At 42.1% G+C, this 26,446-nt stretch overlaps 1 protein-coding gene across 14 annotated transcripts in view, besides 5 other annotated features; it reads right to left on the bottom strand.

Annotated features, from left to right (window-relative positions):
* ZNF827 (zinc finger protein 827) overlaps nt 1-18,914 on the bottom strand; it is a 181,197-nt gene extending 162,283 nt beyond the window's left edge. For 12 of the 14 annotated variants that reach the window (XM_047449635.1, XM_017007768.3, XM_017007770.3 and 9 more), the window contains exon 1: nt 18,456-18,914. In XM_047449635.1, coding sequence (XP_047305591.1) covers nt 18,456-18,498 — 43 coding nt within the window. In that variant the 5' untranslated portion in view covers nt 18,499-18,914. Of the gene's footprint in view, nt 1-281; nt 1,561-16,126; nt 16,309-18,455 lie in introns of those variants that run through there. The other 2 variants (XM_047449634.1, XM_047449636.1) reach the window with 2 other exon arrangements.
* Nucleotides 12,210-12,711: an enhancer, noted in NCBI's record as "H3K4me1 hESC enhancer chr4:146853271-146853772 (GRCh37/hg19 assembly coordinates)". NCBI's record gives its function as "activates a minimal SCP1, AML or CMV promoter by ChIP-STARR-seq in primed H9 embryonic stem cells {active_cell/tissue: H9 hESC(primed)}" and the evidence as "EXISTENCE:reporter gene assay evidence [ECO:0000049][PMID:30033119]".
* Nucleotides 16,577-17,156: a silencer, noted in NCBI's record as "silent region_15735". NCBI's record gives its function as "represses an Ori minimal core promoter by ATAC-STARR-seq in GM12878 lymphoblastoid cells {active_cell/tissue: GM12878}" and the evidence as "EXISTENCE:reporter gene assay evidence [ECO:0000049][PMID:35858748]".
* Nucleotides 17,257-17,666: a silencer, noted in NCBI's record as "silent region_15736". NCBI's record gives its function as "represses an Ori minimal core promoter by ATAC-STARR-seq in GM12878 lymphoblastoid cells {active_cell/tissue: GM12878}" and the evidence as "EXISTENCE:reporter gene assay evidence [ECO:0000049][PMID:35858748]".
* Nucleotides 17,787-17,856: a silencer, noted in NCBI's record as "silent region_15737". NCBI's record gives its function as "represses an Ori minimal core promoter by ATAC-STARR-seq in GM12878 lymphoblastoid cells {active_cell/tissue: GM12878}" and the evidence as "EXISTENCE:reporter gene assay evidence [ECO:0000049][PMID:35858748]".
* Nucleotides 18,231-18,290: an enhancer, noted in NCBI's record as "active region_21972". NCBI's record gives its function as "activates an Ori minimal core promoter by ATAC-STARR-seq in GM12878 lymphoblastoid cells {active_cell/tissue: GM12878}" and the evidence as "EXISTENCE:reporter gene assay evidence [ECO:0000049][PMID:35858748]".
* Nucleotides 18,915-26,446: the final 7,532 nt, after the last annotated feature.

Raw genomic sequence — 26,446 nt, forward strand, 5'->3', positions numbered from 1 at the left:
GGCAAAATAGAAAGGGCACAAGCTTTGGAACCAGACACTCCCACTCGAATCTTATCCTGCTATACACTAGGCCCACCTGAAGTCTACAAGCACCTTCTCCTGTTTAGAGTATAAGATACTAATATCTGCAATTGTACAGGGCTATGTAAAGGTAAATTAGCATTACATAAGTAAAGCACCTGGCACAGAGTTGACGCTTAGTGAATAATAGCTTTCCCTTTTTCCCAGGCACCTAGAAATCTCAAATGAGAAAACATTATGTTTTAAAGAGGACGGCTTACCTCAGAACTGTTGATATTGTTACCCAGCTCTATATCATAATCACCCCAACCAAAGAAGACAGGAAACTTCTGGTTGTTATGACCATGGAATCCAGATGCAGAATATGCCCAGTCATCAGGAAAATCTGACGGTCTTGGCACAGTTTGAGGACAGAAAGAGAGCAACAGCCAATAGCTGAGGGGAGACTCCACAGTCTGGAATGTGCCACAGACTTCCAACCACAAAAGTTCTCTCTTGCACTTAGACGGTGGTATCCCCTGCAGCATACGCCACGGCCTCTGCTCTTCTGGGCAAGTCTCCTCAGGAAGGGAGGAGAAGCATGTGACTCCCTCCAGTCATCTCCAGGCTACATTCACGCGAATGTCCAGGGTACTGTTCATCGCCTCCTATACCCAGCCCGGGACAATTTAGGCAAATCGTTTTCTCATTTTTGAAAGAGGAAGACAGCAGGAGATGGTCTCTAAAGTCCTTTCCACCTCTAAAACCCTTTGGTTCTGTGACCCAGTCTTAACTTCTTTGTTTATTCATTCAGCAGTGTTTATGAAACACCTATGGGATTCCCCCCTTCTTAATTTCATTCATTTCTTCATTCAACAATATTAATAGAACATCTCCTATTTCTTGGATTCTGTGACCAGCTCTTTACTTCTCCCTTCATTCATTTATTCAGCACTATTTATTGACCACCTACTATAATCAGTTACTGTTATGTGCAAGAATGTACAAAAATGAATAAGAAAGTCCATGCCCTTTAAAAGCTCACAGTCAATAAGAACATCGACTAGTAAGGAAGTATACTATGCACACAAAGTTATTATGATAGAGCTATGGGAACCAGGGGAGGAGACGCCTAATTCTACCCAGCATGTGGGACAATGCAGGAGGGGAAGCAGGAAAGGCTTCTCAGAGAACTGAGTGTTGCAGGCTAAGTAGGAGGTTATCAGGCACATAAATGAGTTGAAGATATTTCAGAAACAGAGAAAAGAATACGCCAAGAAAAGGAGGTATAAGTATGATTTGCAGAACAGATAGTTCAGTACGAATAAAACAAGGAGTATACAACATGGCAGAGGAAAGGGGCTTAGATGACAAAGCATCTTCTAGATTTGCTTCTTGGCAAAGTCTAGAAGTCCAGACTTTATCCTTTTAGAAAATGCCTAAAAGATCTTAAATAGGATTATCTGGATTACATGAGTGTTTTAGAAAGTCTGCCATGGTGGCAGTGTGGAGACTGGATTACAGAGGCAGGGGTTGGGGAGGGGAGAGGTGAGACTCAGGCAAAAAAAAAAAAAAAAAAAAAAAGAGGTCAGCTGGCAACCATTTCAATTCTCTTTGAGAAAAAATATGAGTGTAAACCAAAGCAGTGGCAGGGGGTGGGCATGATTTATTCTAGAGATATTTGGGAAGCAGAACCAACAAAACTGGGTGGGGAAGAAATTCAATGAGGGGAGGAAAAGGAAGGGGGTGGCATTTGGATTACACTCAGGTTTCTGTCTCAGATGAGTGGGTTCATGGACAATGAGGACAGCAACCCAGAAAAAGAAGACACGAAGACCAGAAATACTCCTAATTCCCCAAGACTGGAAATCTTAGTCATCTCTTCTTTGCTACCATGCAGTCTCCAAGATAAATCATGCTGGACCAAGGCACTCACTGGAGTTCTCCTCCAACAGGGGTTCCAGGAAATCATAACAGGTACCAGGATAAATATGGAGCATCTTCACAGACCAAAACTGATACATACATATTTACAAGAAACAAAGGTAATTTGACTGATGAGTTATTGAAAACATTACTTTTAGTCTAAACCAACAGATATACAGTATAATGCACATTGTAAGATAATTCAAAGATACATCAAGGAAATCTCACAGAAGCTGTGAGAACCGTTGTGAGTTTAGGATTCCCCATCTTCAGGATTCTTTGCCTTTTGGGGTCTTTGGTGAAAATATTCAAAGTGCTACATTATAGCATTACCTAGTAAAGCTGAAGACGCACATGCACCAAGATGTGGCATTTCCATTACTATGTAGACAACTTAGAGTAGTGGTTCTCAAAGTGTGGTGTGTGGACCCCTATGTGTCTCTGAGACCCTTTCAGGGATCCTCAAGATCAAAACTGTTTTTATAATAATACTAAGCTATCATTTGCCCTTATTACTCCATTGACATCTGTAATGATGATACAAAAGCAATGACGGGTAAAACTATTGGGACCTTAGCTTGAATCACAGCAACAGCAATAAATCATACTGGTAATGATTTCATTCTTCACTGCTGCACATATTTAGAAAACTAACACACAAACACAAAAACAAAACCAAGGAGAAAAGCCCTGCCAGTTTCACTTAAGAATGTCTTTGATGAAGCAGTAAAAATTATTTTCATTGAAGACTGACCCTTGAGTAAACATCTTTTTAATAACACATGTAATGAAATACATGCATAAAGCACTTCTGCTATCACCAAAGTACGGTGGCTGTCTCAAGGAAAAGGACATGTGTGACTGAGTTAAGAGCCGAACTAGCCAATTTTTCCTTGAACATCACTTTTAATTGAAAGGATAACTGACTATGGTCATTCAAGTATCGGTATTTGGCAGACTCTTCATTGGAAATGAAAAGTAAGACTGATACTTCAAGGAAAAACTGACAGTGTTTGTTGCCAACAATAAAATTCAAGCTTTCAAACAAGAATTAAAATTTTGGAAAACATGTATCTTACACTGTGAATTTGACAGCTTCCCAATACGGTCCTTAAACACCTTTCAGATAACATCAGTGTTGATATTAATATTTTTTTTATATTTTATAACAAAATGTGTCAACATTTGGTAGATCTACATAACTCAGTGAACCAATATTTTCCAAATGTCCAACACAAGATGTTCTATGCACATTGATCCATTCAAAGCACAAGAGAGACCAGTAGATTTTAATGCTTCAAAATATGAAAAGTTTATTGAAATGTTTTGATTAATCATTGCAACTAATCTTTAAGAAGCTATCTCTTTTTGAGTCTTGGTGTAATATCAATGAATATTCACAATTATCTGAAAAGACTATTACATATTGGTGTGAAGTCAGATTTTCTTCAGATATGCCATCCAAAACATGTCACAGATTGAATGCAGGCCAGGTGCGGAGGCTCATGCCTGTAATACCAGCACTTTGGGATGCCGAGGCAGGCGGATCACCTGAGGCCAGGAGTTTGAGACCAGCCTGGCCAACGTGGTGAGAACCCATCTCTATTACAAATGTAAAAAAAAAAAAAAAAAAATTAGCCAGGCCCAGTGGCAGGCACCTGTAATCCCAGCTACTTGGGAGGCTGAGGCAGGAGAACCGCTTGAACCCAGGAGGCAGAGGCTGCACCACTGCACTCCAGCCTGGGCAACAGAGGGAGACTCCATCTCAAAAAAAAAGACTGAATGCCGTAGCAGATAGGAGACTCTCGTTGTCTTCTGTTAACTCAGGCATTAGAGATTTGCAAAAATATAAAATAATGCTACTCTTCTCACTAAATCTCTTTTGGAAAATATATTTTTATTAAAATATGCTATTTATAGTTAACATGTAATGGGTTAGAATCAGTATTTTTAATAACATATTTAATTTGCCAGTTTTAATCTCTACCATGATATAGATAAATAGATACAATGCATACGCACAAAAGGTTTTTGGAGTTTAGGGGTCCTGGTAAAAAGGTCCTAAAACCAAAATGTTTGAGAACCAGTGTCTTAGAGAAATTCACACTCAGGCTAAACTGATATGTACATGCATGTTCACGGCAGTGCTGTTCAAAACAGCAAAAAAAGTGGAAACAAAAGCAAACATCCATTGTGGTATGTTTCTACAGTGAAATACTGGAGAGCAGTGAAAATGAATGTGCCAGAGCTACATGCATCAACATGGATAAATCCCAGAAAGGTAACCATTGAATGAAACACCAAGGTGCAGAACACACACTGTACACTAACACTGTTACACATCTCAAAGACAAGCAAAACTAAGCAATGTGGTAAAGTCCAGAGAAAAAACAAGAAAAACAATAAACAGAGAATTTAGGGTAACTCTTAGGAGACAGGGAGCAGGAGAAGAATACACAAACAAGTTCAATAGCATTAAAACTAGTTAAACTGGGCGGTAGGTTTACAGATGTTTGTTGTCACTATGCTTTTCATTATATATGTATAGATGTTAGATATACTATTTTTTTTAAGAGCACATATTATATCACCTTCAAAGGGAGACACAGCATTAGAACACTCCTTGCTGATTATTGAGGAACCAAAGAGGTAAGGGAGGGGTAAGAGGGGAGGGCAAGCCCTGGCTGAGTGTCTGCAGCACTGGCCCTGAGAAGCTGGTTTGAGGCAGGGCTCTCCCAACAGCCCCTTCAGGGGTCACATCCACCGCCATCCACCTGAGTTTGGTTTTTCAACAGCTCTGCCTACTTGAAAAGGCCACTTCTTCATTTAGGCCATCACCCTCCACCTCCATTTTTATCACTGTAAAAGAAACTACCACACCTCACAGTTGATTTTTGAGATGTAATCAAACCACTAAATTTAGCAATCATAATCTCTTATCTGGGCCAACCCCTTCCATATTTTTCCTACTTCTTATCTTTACATTACTAATATGGCCCCTCTGGTTCAATGAAGTCCCTTATCTTAGTGTCTCTCACATAAATGAACTTTTGGTTTATTTTGCCCTGTTTTGGTTAATGTATTAGTCTGTTACACACACTGCTAATAAAGACATACCCGAGACTGGGTAATTTATGAAGGAAAGAGGTTTAATTGACTCACAGTTCCAAATGGCTGGGGAGGCCTCACAATCACAGTGGAAGGCAAAGGAGGAGCAAAGTCACATCTTACATGGCAGCAGGCAAGAGAGTGTGTGCAGGGGAACTCCCCTTTATAAAACCATCAGATCTCATGAGACTATTCACTATCACGAGAACACCACAGGAAAGACCCATCCGCATGATTCAATTACCTCGCACTAGATCCCTGCCATGACATGTGGGAATTATGCAAGCTACAATTCAAGATGAGATTTGGGTGGGGACACAGGAAAACCATATCAGCTAATGACATTTCTTCTTCTTGGAATGTTCTCTCCTCTCTGCTCAGGATCTAAGTCCATCACTTCCTTGAGGATGCTTTATATGTCATTCCTCTTTGAGAATCTTTTACCCATCACACTTGCTCTGTGATTCCTCAAACATTTACCCATCTAACTGATAGTATATGGTCTTGCACTTGTTATCATATTGATTTGACTTATCCTCTGTGATTATTTCGTGTCAACATTTGAAAGAACTATCAGCAGAGGTTGCATCCTACAGAACTTCTGTGAGCCAGGTAAATGCTCAAAAGTTTTCCTTAATGAATGAGCACCAAGTGGGGGTTACAACTCTTAGCCAATCAAATTGTCACTGCTCTAACATGACACCAAGTCGCCACACACCTCTACTCCCAAAAGGCTCTCAATTCAGTATAGTGAAAGACGTGTTCCCCTGCTATGGGAACAGATTTCCAACTTTAAATAGAAACCAAGCAAAGCAGTACTTTAGAGAATTGTTTCCTGAAGTATTAAACAATTTTAGAGTTCAACGCTTCTCATCTCACCCCACATTACTTGAAGTCCTTAGAAAATCACCCCCAACGGGTGGTTGAACCAGCTTCTTCATAAACACAACATCTGCTGTTTCATTTTTGGTTAGTTTTATTTATTCAACAAGTCTTATAAAATCAAATGTATATTCCTTCTAACTTCTATCCTATTGGTCCTACTCTCTGTTTTCTGATTAGCACTTCATAAGTTTATGAAAATACTTTTCAAGCTGAATTTTAATTATTTGTTTCCATCTCTTTCTCTGCTCACTTGTCTCTGAGCTCCTTGAGAGCAGGGACCATGCTCTATTCGGTTCCACAAATTCCCAATCCCTGACACACTTTGCTCAATTAGTGCTGGTGAAATGAATGAATGAATGAACAAATGAAGTATCGGTTATCACACACAAGCTGAGAATTTAGGATGAATAACAATTTACTCCCTTTTTCACTTGAAAGAACTTCATATATTTGAATGTAGTGATCATGCACAATTTTTATCCACCCCCACTCTTAAGTATTCCCAATTGCCTCAATAACTAATTTCTCATATGATGATTTCAAGAGCCTACAACATTCTAGTTGCCTCCCTTCTTGTGAGCAGTTTATCAATTTCTCCCTTTAAATCAGTGCAACCAATCTGGGATTCAATACTATAGATGGGTTGAATCAGTTTGTAAGAGTGATGTTGCCACCCTTGTTCTGAATTCCATACTTAAATTCTTTTAGCCAACTATGCTGAAATGTACCAATTTTTCAAATAAAGGCCAAGTTTTAAATATTAATTGTTGATTAACAGTGGTTATCTCTGGGGGTGGAAGTTGGGATGAGGGGACTTTCATACTTAAGCATTATCGCATGAGTTTAATTATTTATACTAAGCATATACTACTTTTGTCATTAAAAGCCAATATCAATTTTTAAAAATAAATTAATAGTTAATATTTGTGTTTTCTATGGTTTCAGCCTTATGGAGTACGCCCAAGTCATGTTTAAGCTTCTCATACTTTTTCTCTTCTTCTGCACATATTTTTTCACCTATCAACAAGTATGTGAGTAGCCATTTGTGCACAGCACTTCTAACTACGATCTAGTAGCCAACCCAAACCCTACTTCTGGATTGTGAAATTTCTCTCTTTCTATAAATGTCACAAAGCAGCTCACTGTAATTTGATTTCTCACTTTCTTAAGGTCAGATTAAAACCCAGTAAGTTATTATTTGAAGTTTGCCTTCCTCTAGAAGGGAGAAATCATATAGCACATTTCAGTAACGTTTCCTGGAGCGTAGGGTCTCCCACACTTTGTTTCCTCCCAAATACAGCTGTGTTTCATGCTCTAGAGAGGACTGTTGGGTTAACAAGTACGGCCAAACAAGTGCAGATTAGAAAACGCCGCCTAATTCTAGGCCATTACGCAAAGGCAGTGCTCTCCATATGGAGCACATAATTCAGGCCTCAGACAGTGTCACTGCATGTGACTCCGTTCTACTATTCTCTGCTTAGTCCCTGCTCTCAAGGAGCTCAGAGACAAGTGAGCAGAGAAAGAGATGGAAACAAATAATTAAAATTCAGCTTGAAAAGTATTTTCATAAACTTATGAAGTGCTGATCAGAAAACAGAGAGTAGGACCAATAGGGTAGAAGTTAGAAGGAAGATACATTTGATTTGATAAGACTGAGATGAACTCAGATCTTAAGTCTTTGAGGAGGGAAATACTATTGGCAGCAGAGGTTTTCATGAATCATGGGGCCATCACGTTCCATCAACACCTAAGGGGTTCTCCTGTAGTGGAGAGGCTCTAAGCAATTTATAGTGGCCAAAACCATCTCCTTCAGGCTGTGAGATCCCATGTAGATTTCACAGACCTACAGCTGCACTGTGTCTCAAGAGACCATCAAATGGTCCAGCCCTTGGTAGTGCTGACACTGGTGACTACAAGCTAATTTCTTCCTTTCTCTGGGTCTGTGTCCACTTCTGTCCAATCAGTGGGAGAAGCAGCCCTTCCCTGCCCACCTCACAGGCAGATGATAAAGTGCTTCATGAAGAATAAAGCATAATACAAACAGAAGGTTTGAGTAATGTACTGTTTTCCGTTTTACATGATGGAGCTACTTAAGCACAGAGATGGTTAAGTGACTTGCCCAAGGTCACAAAGCCAGTGAAAAACCTTGGTGATGGGAGAGTTTAAGGGAGAAGACTGCAGTCTGTGTCTCCTGCCTACTGTAGATTCCTTCCATCAGTCTCTCTGGTTTCCAACCTCGAGGAGTTGCAGTCCATTACCCAGGTCCACGAGCTAATTTTAGGGTTTTAAGAGCCTGAAAAAATACCATCAATAAGCTGACCAGGCTCACCATCTCCTGTCTTTATTTTTGACTGAAATGATAACATCCCAGAGTGGGAGTTCTGGTTAGTTCAGGGGTCCTCAACTCGGGATTAAGCAAATGAATCACATCACCCAGGGAGCTTTTAAAAAACGTTCATGCTCAAGCTCCACTCTGGGTCAATTCAACTTAAATCTCTGGGGGTGTTTGTATTTTTTAAAAATCTCCCAGGTGATTCTAATACATCTGGTTGAGAACCACTGGGTTGGCTGATGGTGATCAGAAACTGACGGACAGCAATAGTTTTCCTTGACTAATTACATAATACAGTTCAAGCAATCCTCAGTTGACATGAATTCACACCTCAAGTGTGTTAATATGGCCAGCATTTACTGTGCACATACCCTATGCCAGACACAAATCTAAAATATCTACGTGTATAGGCTGACTTAGTCTCAGAGAACCTACAATGGTCTCCCACTTCACAAATGAGAAAAACAGGCAGATAACTGCAGTAACTCGCTTGTGTCACGGCTGCAATGTGGTGCTGCTAGGATAGGGATTACTATACGGCTTCTTGATACTGCCATCAAATGTGCTATACAACACCTGAGAGTCAGTGATGAATGGAAAGATCAAAGAATGCTGGGGAATGCAGAACAGTTTCTAATCCAAACGCCTACAGGGATCAGGAGGTAAGATACCTGAGGGAGGTGGGCAGGTGTATATGCATATGGGGACATGGTGGCCGAGTGGCAGGAACTGTGGCAGACTGACGAGCACATGCCTGGGGAATGGAGACAGCCGCCACCGACTACAGCAGATTGCTGCCATGTGGGGAGGTGGGCCCAGTGCGAGTGACTCTTCCAAGTTTTCAAAGGAAGCTGGAAATTTGGATTTTTATATGAAACCTCCGATTTCCAAAATGTTGTCTCAAGTTTTTAAACAGTATCTGTGTGGGGCAAAACACATTACTATGGCACCAGCTTGTAACCTACGATATGATCTCTCTTTCCCACTGTGCTCACATATACACAACCCCATCCTTCATTTAAGATTCATTGCATGTATTCTCTTGATTTGGTTCTCTGTGATTAGAAACAGCAGACCCTGCCTTTCCTTCTTTCTGTGTAAATAAACTATTACCTATGTAACATATGGAACACCTAATATAAATTTCGTCTGTGTTACTCTAACCAGTGGGCTGCCTGTTGAACAGAAGAATAAATAAATATTTATGGAATACCTATTCTCTAATTTGAGTCTCACTCTAAGTGTCTAAAGGAGGATTTAGTATCCTCACTTTATAGTAAAATCTGGTTATAATGCATATGATTATTACACAACTTAGATATAATTCAGGTCAAATCATATAAACAGAGAAACTCATTCCTGTAGTAAAAGCCTAATATAATATTGTTGGCCTATGAAACAAGTATTAGTCAAGCCCTACAATAATAGCCTTGTAAAAGAATTTTACCATATCATATTATTATTACTCACCACACTAATGAGATATATTGAGAAAAAAAAACCATAGAAACCACCAAAAAGTTCCAGGTCAGAAATACCTGTAATCTATTCACAATCTAAACAAACTGAAACACCTTTCACATACTTAATAATAAGTAATATTTATTAAGTCCTTTCTATGCAGCAGGCACTAATTAGGCATGATTTTGTGTATATGTATAATATTTACATTTGTATATGTATTCAATTATTCCTTCTAATAGCTCTGTGATACAGAAACTATTACCACTATTTAAAGATGAGTAAAGTGGAGGACAGGGAAGATAAGCAATTTGCCCAAGGTCACACAGCTAGTCAGTGGCAAAGCTGGGCTCTGAACAGCCTGGCCCCAGAGTTTGTACGTTTGACTGCTGCCCTACGAACTTTGAAAGCACATGAATCCTGTTTCTACTTTAGTTGTGCCATACACAGTAGACAAAGTTAAAGAGGGCACAGTCACAGATGATACTTTCTCCCTCTCATTACAAAACAACAACAAAAGCTTTTTAAAATACAGCACCAGACCACCTAAGATACTAGCACTATGTAACCTTAGAAACATCTATCACCCTCCACAAGCACAGTAGCTTGTTTCAAAAGCTCAGATAAGCAGAGTGCTACTGATCAATCATGTAAAAGATCATTTTTTCCTGGCCTTCTTCAGTCTCCTTTGAAGGCCAGCTTCTTCAGCACACTCAAAACATTTCACCCTGAGATCCACATCTCTCTCTCACCCCTTTTCTTTTTCCCTTCACATCACAATTCTAATGGGGTCTAACCACTTTTCCGACCCATGTAGAAATGACCAAAGAGAAAGAGATAGAGAGACAGGTTATTTTAGGGTTTGCTTTTTCAGGCCCTGGCCTCCAAGAAGGTCCATGCATTTCTTCCTTGCTGGTAGAGAAACTTGGTTGAATTAGGATTTTCTTAAAAACAGAAGCAAAGTGTATCTAAACCCTGGTCACTTAAGAACTCCAGAGACAGAACTTCAGTAGTAAAAGCTGTTTTTTATAAGAAGGGAATGGACAGTCGGAAACAATATCCTTTTTAGGCACACTGAATTTGCTGCATTTAGTATAACCCTAGGTCAGACTGTGAAAGCAGAGTTGCTAAAGGCCACATTCTGACCTCAGATCGTGGGCGCGTATCACTGTGCATTTTATAAAATTAGCTACAGTGCAGCCTCTCTGTGTGTGTGCGTGTGTGTGTGTGTGCGCGCGCATGTGTGTACATGCAGTGAAGCTAACTTTTAAAAAATAAACAGCAACATGTACCCATGCCATTTAAGATTAGTATCAAGCCAAAGTCTGATTTTAATTTATGAAACTACTTTGTAACTACAACAATTCTAGCCCAAGGTGGGTCCCTGGGGAATGACAGGAGTCATCAGAGAGGCCCCTGCCTCAGCACCTAGTCACACACTATTCTCCAATATCATAAAAAATAACTTACAGAGAGAGGACAGAAATACAAAAAACTTACTCCCAAACAGAAGGGAGAAAGCAGCCAGAAATGTCAGCCCATCAAGTACTCTTAGCTATTTCTAAGGTCTGTGCTTCACACATTATTCTCTTATAAAATATGATAGAAGACATTTTAGCTACCATGAACTATAAAGTGTTGTACACTTAGCCCTAGATGGAATGAATTACTGAGCTACACCTGGCAAAGCAGGAGACAGAAAAGTGTATCTCAGAAACAGGCACCATCATTTACAATCTATACCTTTAAAATGTGGTTCTAAGAGTACATTAACTAAGCCAATATAGTTATGAAATCTGATGAAAAAAAGCTCACATCCTACCATAACTAGGCCTGGCCTGGATTTTTTTCCAATAAGAGAAAACCTAAAATCTATGCCTTCGCCACAAAGCTCATGTTCTTGTAAAACCTTATGCTGGAAATCCTTAACGCCCCCTAAAGCCCTATTCTGTAGGTCATACTCTGATTATCTTGTTCTGTGATCAGTCTGATTAAATTATACAAAATTACCAATACATCACTCAGAATGGAGAGATTAGCTCCAGCCTACTCTGTTTGTTTTTCCTTGTCCTGTCCTAATACTACAGTGGATATTTAAAAATGAAGAATGGAGGAAGACATGGCAACTTCAAAAGGGGACAAAGGATATATTAACCTAATCTCAGAAATACACTGCCTTCAGCTTTCACAGATGGCACTGTTGACCAGCCATAGAAACAGGTATAGCAATGTGGGCTCCACCATCATTTCCCTCTCTCACACCTTGTGCTGCAGTCTGAATGTTGGTGTCCCCCCCAAATTCATGTTGAAACTTAATCCCCAATGTGATAGTATTAGAGATGGGGCCTTTGGGAGGTGACTAGATCGTGAGGGTAGACCTCTCAAGAAAGGAATTAGTGCGTTTATAAAAGGGGCCCTAGGGAGCTTGTGTGCCCCTTCCACTATATAAAGACACAGCAAAAAGGTACCATCATTGAAGCAGAGATTGAGCCCTCAGCAAACACTGAATCTGCTGGCACCTTGATCTTGGACTTCCCAACTTCCAGAACTGTAGGCAATACATTTCTACTGTTTATAAAATACCCAGTTTAAGATATTTTGTTATAGCAGCCAACGGTCTGAGACACCTTGTCATCTTTAAGTCCAAAGATACCAATTTGCTTATAAGTGACCAGGGTTAATAACAGTGGATGAGAGTTTTTCTCTTTTGTGAAACTAACTTGTCCAGACAGAATCCGAACGCAAACTACTGGGATTACTTAAGTAAACTAGTTTACCAACCCAGCCAGGCACCATACATTTCCAATCCAGCCTTTTCTACAAGAACATGTTGACATTAATAGAACTCCTTGTATTTTTTTTTTTTTTTTTGAGACGGAGTCTCGCTCTGTCGAACAGGCTGGAGTGTAGTGGCACAATCTCGGCTCACTGCAAACTCCGCCTCCCGGGTTCGCGCCATTCTCCTGCCTCAGCCTGCCGAGTAGCTGGGACCTCAGGCGCCCGCCACCACGCCCTGCTAATTTTTTGTGTTTTTAGTAGAGACGGGGTTTCACCATGTTAGCCAGGATGGTCTCGATCTCCTGACCTCGTGATCCACCCGCCTCGGCCTCCCAAAGTGTTGGGATTACAGGCGTGAGCCACCGCGCTCAGCTTGTATTTTAAACCAACTTCTGACCTCAGGAGAAGCCTGCATCGTCACTCCACCAACACACTTTCCCTTAGGTGTGCCCATAGTCTTTGTCCATCTGATTTTACAAGCCTCACAAGACAGAGATTTTCTACATTTCCCTTCGAACTCTCCTAATAGAGGCCATTCAGACTCTAAAATCTCAAATGCACAGCAAGCTCTAACACTGGCCGAAAGCTGTCCAATTTATACCTCTCCAGCATGATTTATTAACACTTTGTGCAGCAAGACTTGTCAACTCACACCAGCTGTGTCATCCCCAGAGTGAGATGGCAGCATGCAGGTAAATTAAAAATCAATGTTTTTATTAGAAACTATTTTGAAGCATGAGAAGGAATGTGATTTTGAGTTATCTTTCCTATTTTAACAGGAAAGCTCAGTGATACCCTACTTACTGTATAGGAATACAGGGATGTTCTTTTTAGAGAACAGATAGGCATTATTATCCAGCATCAATCTAGACTGCTTCTGGGTACCTTGGAATCATTAGCTCTGGATGACAGGATCAGTGAAATATTTTGCTACTTGAGACTCAAATTTTTTCTCACGTGGTCCCTGCCACAGTTAGTCAGGAGGTACTGCCCAGTCACTGCAAAAATTAATAAAAGTAAATAAGAGAAAAGAGTTCAATCTTTCTTTCTCTTTCATTAGACATAAAAAGACTGGTAAAATGATAAAAATAAGAAATCCCGTTGCTTTTCAGTCATTTTGCTTCCTAATTTTACTAGAAAGCAAGAAAGAATTTTAAAAAGTTTTGTTAATGAAGAACACAATAACCTGATCTGGTCTTGACCCACAACTGAGTAAACAATGAAAATACTGGAATAACAAAACAACTGCTTTATTAACTTTTCCTTTGTGTTCCCCCTCGGGAATAGGCATCAGGTAAATTTCCAATGGTAAATATAATAGGATCTAAACTTGTATATATTTATGTGTAAGCTGAAGCTAATGAAGAAATAAGTGATCACCAATGGTGAAAAAAAAAAAAACAAAAAAACAAGAGAACACCCTTCCTCATCCTTTCCCTCTTCAGTTTGTGATTCCAAATGTAAAACCGTTCATAAAGTGCCCAGTCCCATGCGTGGTAACGGTCACAGCATCAGTTAGCCACACAGTTACCCACTCTTCCATTTTCTTAGGCTGACAAACTTTTTAAAGTTATCCAGTTCAGGATTCTGCTAAAGACAAGCAGGTGATATAGCTCAAAGGGCCTCTTGGACATTTTTTTAAATATAGTATTGGACCTTGTTAATGGAAAGAACTTTTGTAAAAGAGCCATCAACAACAGTAGAATCATATTTAAATCCCAAAATGATAATTACTGCTCTAGGCCAAGAAATAAAGGCTGTATCTCGTGTAATAATTTTTAAAACCACCCCTCAAAAATAGTGTAGGTTTAATACTCTTTGCTTAGGGTCACCTGCAGAAGTTAATACAGGACTTCTTTTGATTTATAGACAGTAAGATCGCCATTCAACCCTACAGTATAGGCCATCTTTTTCTGTATATGTATAAGGCCCATATAACAAAGCAAACACAGACACAAACACACACACTTACTTCAGAGGCCCAGGAGGAAATGGCTGTGTAGAATTTTAAATCAGAAACCTAAGGCTTAGGTTAGTAGTGTCAGGTTAAAGGCTAACCCATCTCCAAAGCTAATTCGGTTCTGAACAGTCCCATGGGTGTCTAACTGAACAGAAGGAGCTGGGAAACCTTAGCAGGCCGGAGCTCAGACTGGGGAATTGCTGGGACTCTGTGCCAGGGGCTGAGGCTCACCCCAGACTTGGTATCAGATAATACCAAGTGCTAGTCTGGATTTCCAGGACTAATCCACTCCAGGGTGGAACTTCCAGGTTCCCTGGTGTCTGTGCTGTGTAGTGGGAGGACTTTGGGCTTTGTAGATCCAGACTGTGTCTGGCTAGTATTGTACTTAATATCAGAAAAATAGATCCAACACAGAAAGAGTCTATAAGTAGCAATGCTTTATGCTGTAGAATCCTTAGGGGGGTGCAGACACAGGGAGAGACCTAAGAGGAAGTGGAAAGCCCTCCGAATTTTCTATAGATTCAGTTTTCATAAGTTCCTTTTTTGTATTCTAATTTGCACTTCTTAAATGTGTTCACAGGTTCTACAGATTCTTAAAACAATATATTAACAGTGGCTATTAACCTCTTTTGTATTTACTCAAAAGGGCTCTTTGGCTTCAAAAACAGTTTTGCCCCTCTCATTCCTTCAAGATCTCCCTTCTCCTCCTCCGTTACACACTCCTTTCTTTTAGAGTCAACTTTTAAATCTGCCCCTATTTAACTTCTTAAAACCCTGAGATGACTTCTAGGAGGAATATTTAATCCCCAGACTTCCTATATTTTAAATTTGATACAAAACAGTACTCCAGTGAAAAAGAATTCCTCCTCTCACATATAAACAAACAAACAAACAAAGTGTCTAGCATTAAAAGTGGGACTTAGAACTACAATTATATTCGACATTAAATACAAATTAACACTAATTTTTCCCAAAGTCAATAATTACTACTTCACACCACTTGCAAGTTTCAAGCCTCACTCAGCAGTTAGCAAGCCTTGGGTGACTGTGATTGAACTGCAAAATACACCATTTGCCCAGAAATTGCAAAGTCCAAACACAAACTGCTTTAAAAACATGTGCAAAACACACTTAGCACAGGCAACACATATCCACAAAAATCCATTCAATGCAAAGGTAAGTGGAAAAGCTTAGAAAATTAAGGCCTCCCTTTCAAAACTGCAGGGACTTTTACGGTGTTTCCAAAGGTAATTGCTTCTTACTTCAGTAAAAGTGACTTTATGTGACTGAAAGAGGGAGGTGATATTTTTTTAAGTGAGTGGCTAACAGGATTCAATCAGACAGCAAAGTAGGAGAGCCCACTCTGAAAATATAACTTCATCACCAGGCACCGACGCGCAGGAAAGGCCCACCAAGCACACGAGCTAAAATGGAGCCTGAATTTCCTCTCAGACGGAGAGGGTAGTCGCAGGAGGTCAGGGTCAAGGTCATCAGCAGGGCACGCTGCAGCTGCCCGACTGCACTACACACAAGAGGAGGGAAGGCGTTCCATCTCCGTCACAGACGAAACAGATAAATCCCTTCTCCTCTCCCACCCTCCCTCTAACCCCGCCAACATTTTTTTTTTTAAAGCAGGGGGAGAAGAGAAGAAAGGGAAAATGACCAAATAACCTCACCGCCCTGTTTTCGCACACAAGCTCATCAGCTCCCAAAGTTGCCATCTAAGGGCAAGTTCGCAGAGAACACTGAAGCCCATTTTGTCCAAGCACGGCAGACCTCCCCTGACCCCCTCAGGATTCCTGCCTCCTCTCCCTCCCCCCACACGCCCCCGACAAGAGCCCGGCAGCGGGGCAGTCCGGCCATGTGCACGCACACTCTTCCACCAACTGCTGCGAGTTTTCTGTGAATCGCAGCGCGGAGCCTCCCAACTCGCCCTCCCCGACTCCACCGCCTTCTCCTTCCTCGCACAAAATTTCCCTACACACGCAGCCGCCTGCGAGTGATTTTATGTGCATATATATTACATATGTGATATTATCCTCAGAACCTCTAGCGGGCAGGCGAAGAAAGGACTGCACAGGGGCATTTTTTTTTTTTAAAGGAAGGGGAAAAAAGCACAACCCAAGCCCTTTGCGTCGACTCCTGCGTACCGGGAAGGGGAAAGAAAGAGGAATGTTTGCGGAGCGGACTGCTTGCAAGTGCCCTTGCTCGCCACTTCGGCTGCGGCCCGGGTGACACGGAGGCGCGGGGGCGCCTGGCCCGAGCAGCCCGCGCCCCCCTCCCGGTCCCCTGGGCAGGCACCGCCGCGGTTATTTCGCGAGGGGGAGATCGATCGCCCTGCCTGTCTGCAGCGGAAAAGCACAAGCTCACACACAGCCCGAGCCCGAGACACCATAACCTTAACCCTTCCCCCACCCTCCGTGAACTTCAGGTGACCGACCACGTCGGCCTGACACCCGGGCGGGCGGGCGCTCCGGCTCCACTCCCGCCCCCAGCCCGGGTTTTGCAGGATCGGGCTCCGAGCAGCGCCAAACCGCCGGGAGAGGGGAGTAGTGTGGGGGGAGAGAAGAGAAATTGACCCTCCGTCTCCCCCGACCCCTCCCTCCGGCGCCTCCCGCGTCCCCTCCTCCCCGTCACCCCGCCCCACGCCTTCTCCCCTGCCCCCTCTTCCCTGCATTCAAGGAGCCGGGCGGCCCCGGGGGATATTTTTAGTTGCTTCTTTCTCCTTCACTTTTAGCTTTAGCAGCATCTCGAAACACTCAAAGCGGAGAAAGACTGGGGGGTTGGGGGGAGCTGGAGAGGGAGTGGGGGAAAAGTTAAGAGTCGCGCAAAGAAAAGCCGGAGGGAGGGCGGAGAGGGACCGGGGGCGCGGGTGGAGGAGGGGAAGGGGACCGGGCCGTGCCGGCGGGTGTGTGTCTCCAGTTGGCGTGTGTGGCTGCCGCCGGGGAGGGCTGTGATGCACTTTAGTCCTGGACTCTGCTCAGGCTCGCCAAGGAGGGGGTCTGAGAGCCCGAGTCTCGCCCGGCTCCGTCTGCTCCGACTGACCCCGCATTTTATTGCGGCCAGGAGCCCTGCTCCTCCCTCTCCTCCGCTCTGCAGGGACCTCGCGCGCCGCGAGCCGCCCTGCCTCCTGCCTTCGCCTCGGCGCAGCTCCCGCACCCCACATCCGCCCGCCGCTGCCCGGCCTCGCCCCCCGCCCGGCCGCCCCGCGCCCCGGCGCGCCCCCTCGCCTCGGCGCCGCGGGAGCAGCCGCCCGGCGGCGCGTGTGTACCCGTGTGTTTGTGTGCGGTGCCCCTACACCCTCCCCAGCCGCTCCCGCCTCGCCCGCCCCCGACTCCCCTCCTCCGCCGCCGCCTCCTCCACCTCCGCCTCCTCCTGCTCCAGCCGCCGCCGCCGCTGCCGCCGGCGGCTCGGGGGCCGACCAACCCCGGCGCAACCTTTAGCCAGGGACGGACCTCTCCCTGGATCCTGTACCCGGCGGCTGCTGCGCGCCCTCTCCCCGACACCCCCAAACGCCATGTCACGGCCCCCAGCCCTCCGCGCGCCCCGACCCCCGCACCCTCAGGCGCCGGAATCCACAAGGAATTTTTTTTTTTTTAAGATTCCAACCTCTCCCACCTCCCCCCACCAAACCCCCGATAAAACCCCCGGCATCCACACTACTCCCCTCCTCCCTTCTCTTGCCCCCTCCCCCCAGCAACCCAGAGTGAGGAGGGGGAAGGGGAGGGAAAGGGAAAAAAAAGCCCGATCTCAAGGAAAAAAAGGGGGGGGGTGAGAGAAAGAAAGAAAAAGAGAGAGAGAATAGAAAGGGCACGGGGCTGATCATCACCAACATGGCTGCCTCAGCATAGACCTAAACGAGGAGTAACCCGGGCTGTGTCTTTGTCAGTTTCACCTCTGTAACCCTAAACTAATGCAGAAAACAACGGAGGAGGCTGCGGAGGGGAAAGAGGAGAGGGAGGGCGAGAAAATGGCACGAGAGGAGGTGGAGAAGGGATGACTTACGTGAGGGAAGGCGCTTGGGCTGCTCCTGCTTCCTCCTGGGCATTTTCCCCCTTTTCTCACATTCTCCTCCTTGGTTAATGTGAGATCAAATAAACCCCCGTGGGGGCAGAGAGGCAGACACTGGCAGGAGCGGGGAGGTAGTTGGGGGGCGGGCGGGCGGGCAGGGGGAAACCCCTTCTCCGGTGTGTGCAATGGGTTGAAGCTTGTTTCCTGGAGCCAGAAGAGGGGTTTTCTTCTTTTCTTTCCTTTCTTTTTTCCTTTTTTTTTTTTTTTTAAATTTTTGGTCGTGCACCTGGCTTGTCCCCGAGCGTAATATTCTTCAATGGAAACGGATCTAATAGGTGTGAGTGTGTGTGTGTCCTATGCTCGCGTGTGTGATGGGAGGTATAAATAAATGAGTGCCGGTGCGGCGGTGTCTATGGCCGCGCTCTGTGTCTCCGAGCCCCTAACACTAATGTCGGGATCAAAGGGCAGCGGCGGCGGCAGCACAGCTCACAGCTCGCTCTCTTGCTCTCTCTCTCTCTCTTTCTCGCTCTCTCTCCTCTCGCGCTCTCTCTCTCGCTCTCTCTCTGTCACACACACACACACACAAGAGGCACAGACTGAGGGAAAGAGCGAGAGCTACACACACACACACGCACGCACACACACACACAGAGCAAAGAGGAAAGTGCCCCAAGGCTCCCAGGGCGGACTCAGCCTCGGATTTACAACCGCTCTGTCTGGAAAGAATGGGGGGCGCGCGTGCGGGGGTGGGATGGAGTTCTTCAAATTTATCCCGCTAGTCACCAAATCTAGGGGGAAAAAGTTTTTCTCACTCTTTAAACAACGATTAGTTCATTATTTTACTGACTTTTAAAAAGGAAATAAATTTCTCTCTTCACTTTCTTTTGTTTATTAAGCTACATTTTGTTCTGTATGAAATTCTGCAGGCTTTTGTCCCTACCCCATCACCTTAAATCTGGAGGTTATCGTCTCCCACACACTCTTCAAAAACATTCCAAAAAAACTAATTTAAAAAAAATGAAGACAACATATGGTGAAATCAATAACTTGGTTGACAGTTGACAGAATAAGTGCCCAGTTTTGGAGTGTCCACTGGAGTTAAAACTGAAAAATGCTCCTAAATGAACATTACAGCTACTTGACAAAGAGAGGAAAATAAGATTAGGTCACCCCTGATGGTTGCTTTAACTGCTACGTGATACTCCTAGAGTGCACACAGCAATCTTTACTTCGGAAATTCACTTTTTCCCCTGCTATATACTGCAGGTATATGAAGTTTACCCTGAAGCAATTCCAGTGTGCATTATGAGCCCAATATAGCAGTTTTCATTAACTGATACATACTTTCATTACCTTACAAATCACACATCTTTCTTCAAAGAGAGACATAAAGGAGAAAAATAGAAAAGGACGGGTCTCACTAGAGCACAAAAGGTACTTGGTGAAAGAGGACTGTTCTCTTTGTGACTTGCAGTCATTTGGATAAAAGTTCACTCAGAGGTTGTTAATGATTTAAACTCCAAAACCTGCTACTATAATTGAAATAAAAATGGTCTGAAGAAGAGTTGTTTCATAAAACTCTCTTTGTAAGAGGAAACTTTGAACTTAGCAGAATACATTATATGTCATGAGTCATGTAGCTAGAAAATAAAAAGGTGCATTATTTAACTACATCTTCCCTTTTTAGCTTTTTTAAAACTCTGACTCATCATCTTATTATGTTAAATATTTTCCTACCAATTTTTAAATAGACCTTTTCATCAAAGAAAGTGGAGGCACAGTAAAGACATAGAACATTAAAATGACACTCTATAAGCCTACATGGATAACTCATGCCTCTTTGAGGTTGAGTTAATTCTTACAACTTCAGTGGTGTTAAAGAGAGCCATGGGGGTTAAATTCTGACTTGCCTTATTAAAAATAATAATAAGGCTTTATATTGCACACTTTTATAAGTGAAGCTTAAAGAGTGCTGTATCTCCCAAAAGATGTCTTTCACTGATAGAGAAATCTCACGTTCAACCCCTCCCTGCCAACTCCCCCCAAAAGATCTAGCTTCCCAGTAACAAGTAATGCTATTGAAAGCGAGGTTTGAAACACCTGCATGAATTCAATCTAAAACCAAAACAGAGAGCAGTCAAGTTTAAAATGGAGCACCCTGTAATCCCAGCACTTTGGGAGGCGGAAGTGGGCAGATCACGAGGTCAAGAGATCGAGACCATCCTGGCCAACATGGTGAAATCCCGTCTCTACTAAAAATACAAAAATTAGCTGGATGTAGTGGCACACTCCTGTAGTCCCAGCTACTTGGGAGACTGAGGCAGGAGAATCGCTTGAACCTGGGAGGCGGAGGTTGCAGTGAGCCGAGATCGGGCCACTGCACTCCAGCCTGGCGACAGAGCGAGACTCCATCTCAAAAAAAAAAAAAAAAAAAAAAAAGGAGCATCATCCTTAAACCAGTTCTTCCTCAAATGTTGGTTTTAAAAAACTGGTAGTTAGGTTGCCCTGCATTATAATTTGAAATATAACTATCTTTCCACTCAGGTCAAATTCAATTTGCCATAATTTTGACTATTGTCGGTGACATTGGACTTGAAATTAATATATTAATGATAAATTAGAGCCCATCCTTTCCAAGTAGACCAATGCTCTGAGTGTGTAGAATCTTTACAGCTGAACAAAATGGTCACCACACTTCACCACTGCTCTCTCAGAACCTTTGGCTAGGGTGTTCAGGATTATGACTCTGCATAGACACACCACTACCTTTTCTGAATTGCTAGGACTCTTCCTAATGTTTAGTTTGCTATAATTGAAAACACACTTTAGGCCTTTCCTCAAAGCAGAGTACATTTCCTGCGACCTTTTAAAGGCATGCAGGAAAATGCTGTCAACTTTTAATTATATAGGTGTTCTATCAACAGCCAAAAGCATTTTTAAATTGAATTTATTCATACCTCCACCTCTTTCCAAAAATTATTTGAAATAGTACACAACAATAGAAAATGGAAATAAGGACAGAACAATTTCCGTTTCAATCTCAGGTTGGTACCTTTATGCTATAAAACACTCTTCAAGGTCATTTGCATCTCACCCTCAATCGCTGTATGCTCAGGGAACACAAACTAATTTTAATGTCAGACTAACAAAAACATTAGGAAAATAAATACTTGGGGGTTACGATAATGGATTTCAAAATCAAATGCATAAATAATTTTGGAAATGTATGCTTTTGGGATATATATACCCATGAACCATGAGCTTTGATTATTGTTGGCCATACTCATCAGATTGGAATATTCTATTTGATTCACCCCACCCATGGACTAAGCTTTAAAAAGCATATTTTATCTTAATAATTATAGTACTCTCTCCACCCCCATCTCCATTACCTCTCAAATGTGAAATTAAAATAGATTTTCTCAAAACTGTGCACTCTAAGAAGAAGTTTCATAAACACTCTCACAGAAGTGAAATCTATTCAAGCTCAAATATTGCTAACGATGAGTAGACAAAGGGAGCACTTACCCTAGAATAGTGTGTGGTCTGCAGGTCCGAAACTACTTTCATACTATCCAGAGTCCATGAGGTCAGAACTACTTGCATACTAACAGTAAGATGTTATTTGTCTTTTTATCTGTGTTGACATTTGCACTGATGATGCAAAAGCAATGGTGGGTAAAAATGCCACATCTTAGCACTAATCAGGGCAGAGCACCAAAAAGTATAATAGTGATCCTATTCTTCACCATCATGCACTTAGAGGAAGGAAAAAGGGAGGTTCATCTAAGAATGTCCTTGATAGAGCAGTAAAAATTATTAATTGTATTACATCTCAATCCTTAAGTACAAGACTTTTAAATATTCTTTGTTGACAAAAAGGTAGATACATATAAAGCACTTCTGCTGCATACTGAAATACATAGGTTGTCTGAAGGAAAATCACTTGTGAGATTGTTTGAAATAGCCACTTTTTAATGGAATGCTATTTTTACTTGAAAGGATGACTGACTGACAAACTGAGAGGGGTATTTCTCAAAAAAAAAAATGAGGTTAGCCTGAAATTTCAAAGAAAACAATGCATACTATTTTTTGGCAGTGACAATATTTGCATTTACAAGTACAAATTAGAATCTTAGATAACTTGTATCCGTCACCATTAATGTAACAGCTTCCTGATACTTATAGGCCTTTTTGATGAAATGGGTGGTGATATTAATAAATGTAACTTTTTGATATTGTCTCAAGATTTTGGAAGAGCCGCAAAGCTCAGTGAACCAATATTTTCCAAATGACCAATGCTTGCTGTTACCAAATCATGCTGTAATACAAGATCCATTCAAAGCACAAGATAGATCAGTGGGTTTTAATGTGAAAAAATATGAAAAATTCATTGATATGGTTTCAGATTCTATACTGTAAGTAATCTTTAAGAAACTACCACTCATCAAGTTCTGGTGTAGTATCAAAGAAGAATATCCACAATTACCTAAAAAGGGTATTAATGTACTTCACCCTCTTCCAGCTACGTATCTTTATCAAACTGGATTTCTTTCATGTACATCTTTAACCAAAGCAACATATCACAATTGATTGAATGCAGAAGCAGATATGAGAACCCAGCTGTGTCCTATTAAGCCAGATATTACAAAGATTTTCAGAAACGTAAAACCATGCCCATCTCCTTATGAAATGTTTTGTTTTGAAAAAAATAGTTACTTTTTATGAAAATGTATTAACTTGCATTGTTTCTGATTATGTATAAATTAATAAAAATTTTAAAAAATTCTACAGTTTTAATGAGTAACAATCAATAGACATAACCAATATAAACAAAGGTCCTTGGGCTCCTCAAAAACTTGTAAGAGTATAAAGGAATTCTGATTCCAAAAAGTTTGAGAACCACTGCCATAGAAATTAAGTTGCAGTTAAAGAGAAAAATGACAGGTATGGAGGCTTTACCAGAGGTCTTGGAATCCAATTGTAAACATGCTTACCCTCTTCATAAAATGAAGCCCACTAAGCCCCTGGAGCTGAGAGTTAGTTTGTGTACCCCAAGATTAGCTCCTCTGATGAGATCCCTTATGGGATACAAGAAGTAGAAGAGGGTGCTCACCCACTCTAGTTGAAACAGGTTATCCAGCCACGTGGAGAGGCCAGTTACTCTGAACAGAGGCCCAAGTCTCTCCTAGCCTCAGACCCTCTAGGAAAGTAAAACCAGCGAGGGTCCCTCTCTCTTTCCCAGGGTATGAACCATCTGCCTCAAGAGTTAAGAAGAGATACTCTTTACCCCAAATGTGCTCCAAGTCTGACATTTTAAATAATGAATGCCTGTCCCAAAACAGAGACATGGATCTGGCGTCTCACCTGGCCTGGACTTGACATGTTATAAATCACTATCTGGTGACGATGACCTGCCATCCTTTACAGAGGGGTAGGCTTTTACTGTAATATGTACTTTCATGGGAATGGATGGAATCAGCAAAGGAAACATTTCTGGGCATTTGGGATATCTTTCTTCTAACCCATGGGCTTGGGCCCCTTCCCTAAATATCGTCCCAATAGTTCTTCACCTCCAACACCTGATGTGAATGTTTCAGAGTACAAAGTCATATTTAGATTGGTCAAATTCCAGATTTCTGTGGTGTGTTTCCCTCACCTGGTTCATCCTGTCAGCACTGATGCTCAAAACCACTCAGTTCTTCCTTGCTTACTCCTAACTTAAACCACAATATGAAATAAAACTCTTGTCTCCGAACCCTTACATGCCATGATTCTTAGCATCTCTGTCCATTTCTCTTCCTTGGGCCTTTTTCTTAAATCTGCATGGATGGGAACTCCCCTAAGCAGCTACTCCCCACTTTCATGTATTTTTGAACTGATTTGTCTGATAGTGCAATGTACTTCTTTGCTGCTTGGCCCAGTCATCCTCTGAACTGCCTCAAATCATACTGCTGCCTCCTTGTGAGTCCCCTCTTGCATGTGGCATCCTTGACGGCCCCTCTTCCTGGCAGCTCTGATTCAGCTTCTCTGCAACATCTTTCTGTCCCTTTGTACGTTCTTCCCCCAGCCTCTTCCCCCACTATGGTTCACATACCCATGGCATCTTGACAAAGTTGTTTACCCAATGTACATGTCAAGCAACATCTTCCTTAGACTACAATATGGTTATAAGAATAACAAAATACAAAATTACTACATGCCCAGACTCATGATTTTGGGTGATCAGCAAGTACAATGGGAGCAGAAACCAATAAAAAAATTTCCTGTGCGTTTCTCTTATATCTTCTCCTCCATGATTACTGTCTCTGCCATTTGTGGTCACCTCTGTCTACCCCCATTTTTGGAATTCCACTTCTACCACTGCCCATTTTTATGCCAATTTTTATGTAGTTGGTTATCTCATGGAAGGTAGGACCAAGTTACCTTGAGCTCCATCTGTGTCCTTTTGGTGCTAGAGTTTGGCTATGTCTTTTTATTGGACTTAAAGTCCTTTCGTATAAAGCAACAAATGGCAATGCCATGGGAGTTAACTATTATACACTCCCTCTTTGACATCATTTCATTTCCTACTTTAATATTTTTAGTAAAGAGGCAAAATTAGAGCTTCGAATTAGAGCCACAGAACTTTATGGCCAGAAAGTGCCTTGCAGATCACTTTGTTTTGCCCTGGTATTCCACAGATGAGGAGTCAGAGTAACTAAAACATTGGGCAATGCTGCTTGCTGAGCTCTGACTAGTGAGCTCTTGGCTATTCCAGAAAATTAGAGCTTAAATGTAGGACATTGTAAAGGCATATTTATGCATCCTAAAGTATTTAAGCAAACCAATTTTGTAAGCCAGAATGTAGAAGCATTTGAAATCACAATATACAAACTTAAGGAATCGAGTGCTTTCAAATATTGTGTGTAGACAATTTAGTGTAGGTTTGATATTGTTTGCTAGCTCCTGGAAGGTTCATTTTAAATGTGAATGAAGGATAGCTATTGGGATTAGAAAGAAACTTTAAAATTTACCAAAAAGAAACCCCAAACCATATAGATCAACTCTATCTTGAGAATATAGATACTATGATAAAAAACTGGAAGCCCTAAAAAAGGTATTACATTCTCTGAGAAGAAACCTTGTGGACATTTCAAAATAAAGTGTTCATACCTTCATGAAAGAAGGTAGCCTAAGCTCAGATCCCGTTTCAGTGTTGGGCAATGGTACACTTAGTCTTGGCCAATTGTCTTAGGCAGTCTTTCAGTGGAGTTCATAGGTATCCAGTGTCAATGTATCATTGCAACTCTCTTACTCTTAAAGCAAAAACCATGAGTCACTCAACTCAGCCCAGCTCCCTGATGGCAGGTCCATGGGCCATTTTTCACACTAGAAGGATGGGTGCTTTTACAGAGGCAACTTCTGAAACCTCATCCTCTTTTACACTGCACTCAGGGAACAATGAGAGAAATGGAATTTTGTGAAGTGTTTGAGACAAAAAAATGATTCCTACAAATTGCCCAAAATAACAGGAAGGAACAGAATGGATAAACTAAAGTTCACATCCTTGTCCTGGAGTCTGAAGCACAACTGGTCTAGCAAGTATCCTTTCAGTAAACAGAGTCTGGGGAACAGATTAACAAGTTAATGTGCAGTTAGGCTAGCATAGAGAAGCTGCACCATGCAAGTATAAGTATGATTGTGTAAAAGCCTCATACACCTAGGCTCCTTTGGCACACATCTTGGGCCCACAGAATACACAGAAATGGCTCCATATAATTCCTATTAATGATGTCCCGAAAAACAGACAACAGGCTTTGCAGGAATTCCTTAATTTCCAAAGGTCATGCCTCTGCACCCCAGGAGATTCACACTTCATTTGTGCCAGATTGCTTGTTGTTTTAGAGGAAGGTTATGTTGCTGACTGATTTTTCACATATCCCAGCTTTTTGGAGAGTTCGCTTCTTAGTGCAGTGTCCGTGAGAAGCTTTGTTGTGACTTTT

This window comes from Homo sapiens, chromosome 4 (genome assembly GCF_000001405.40).
Source record: "Homo sapiens chromosome 4, GRCh38.p14 Primary Assembly".
Classification (NCBI taxonomy): domain Eukaryota; kingdom Metazoa; phylum Chordata; class Mammalia; order Primates; family Hominidae; genus Homo; species Homo sapiens.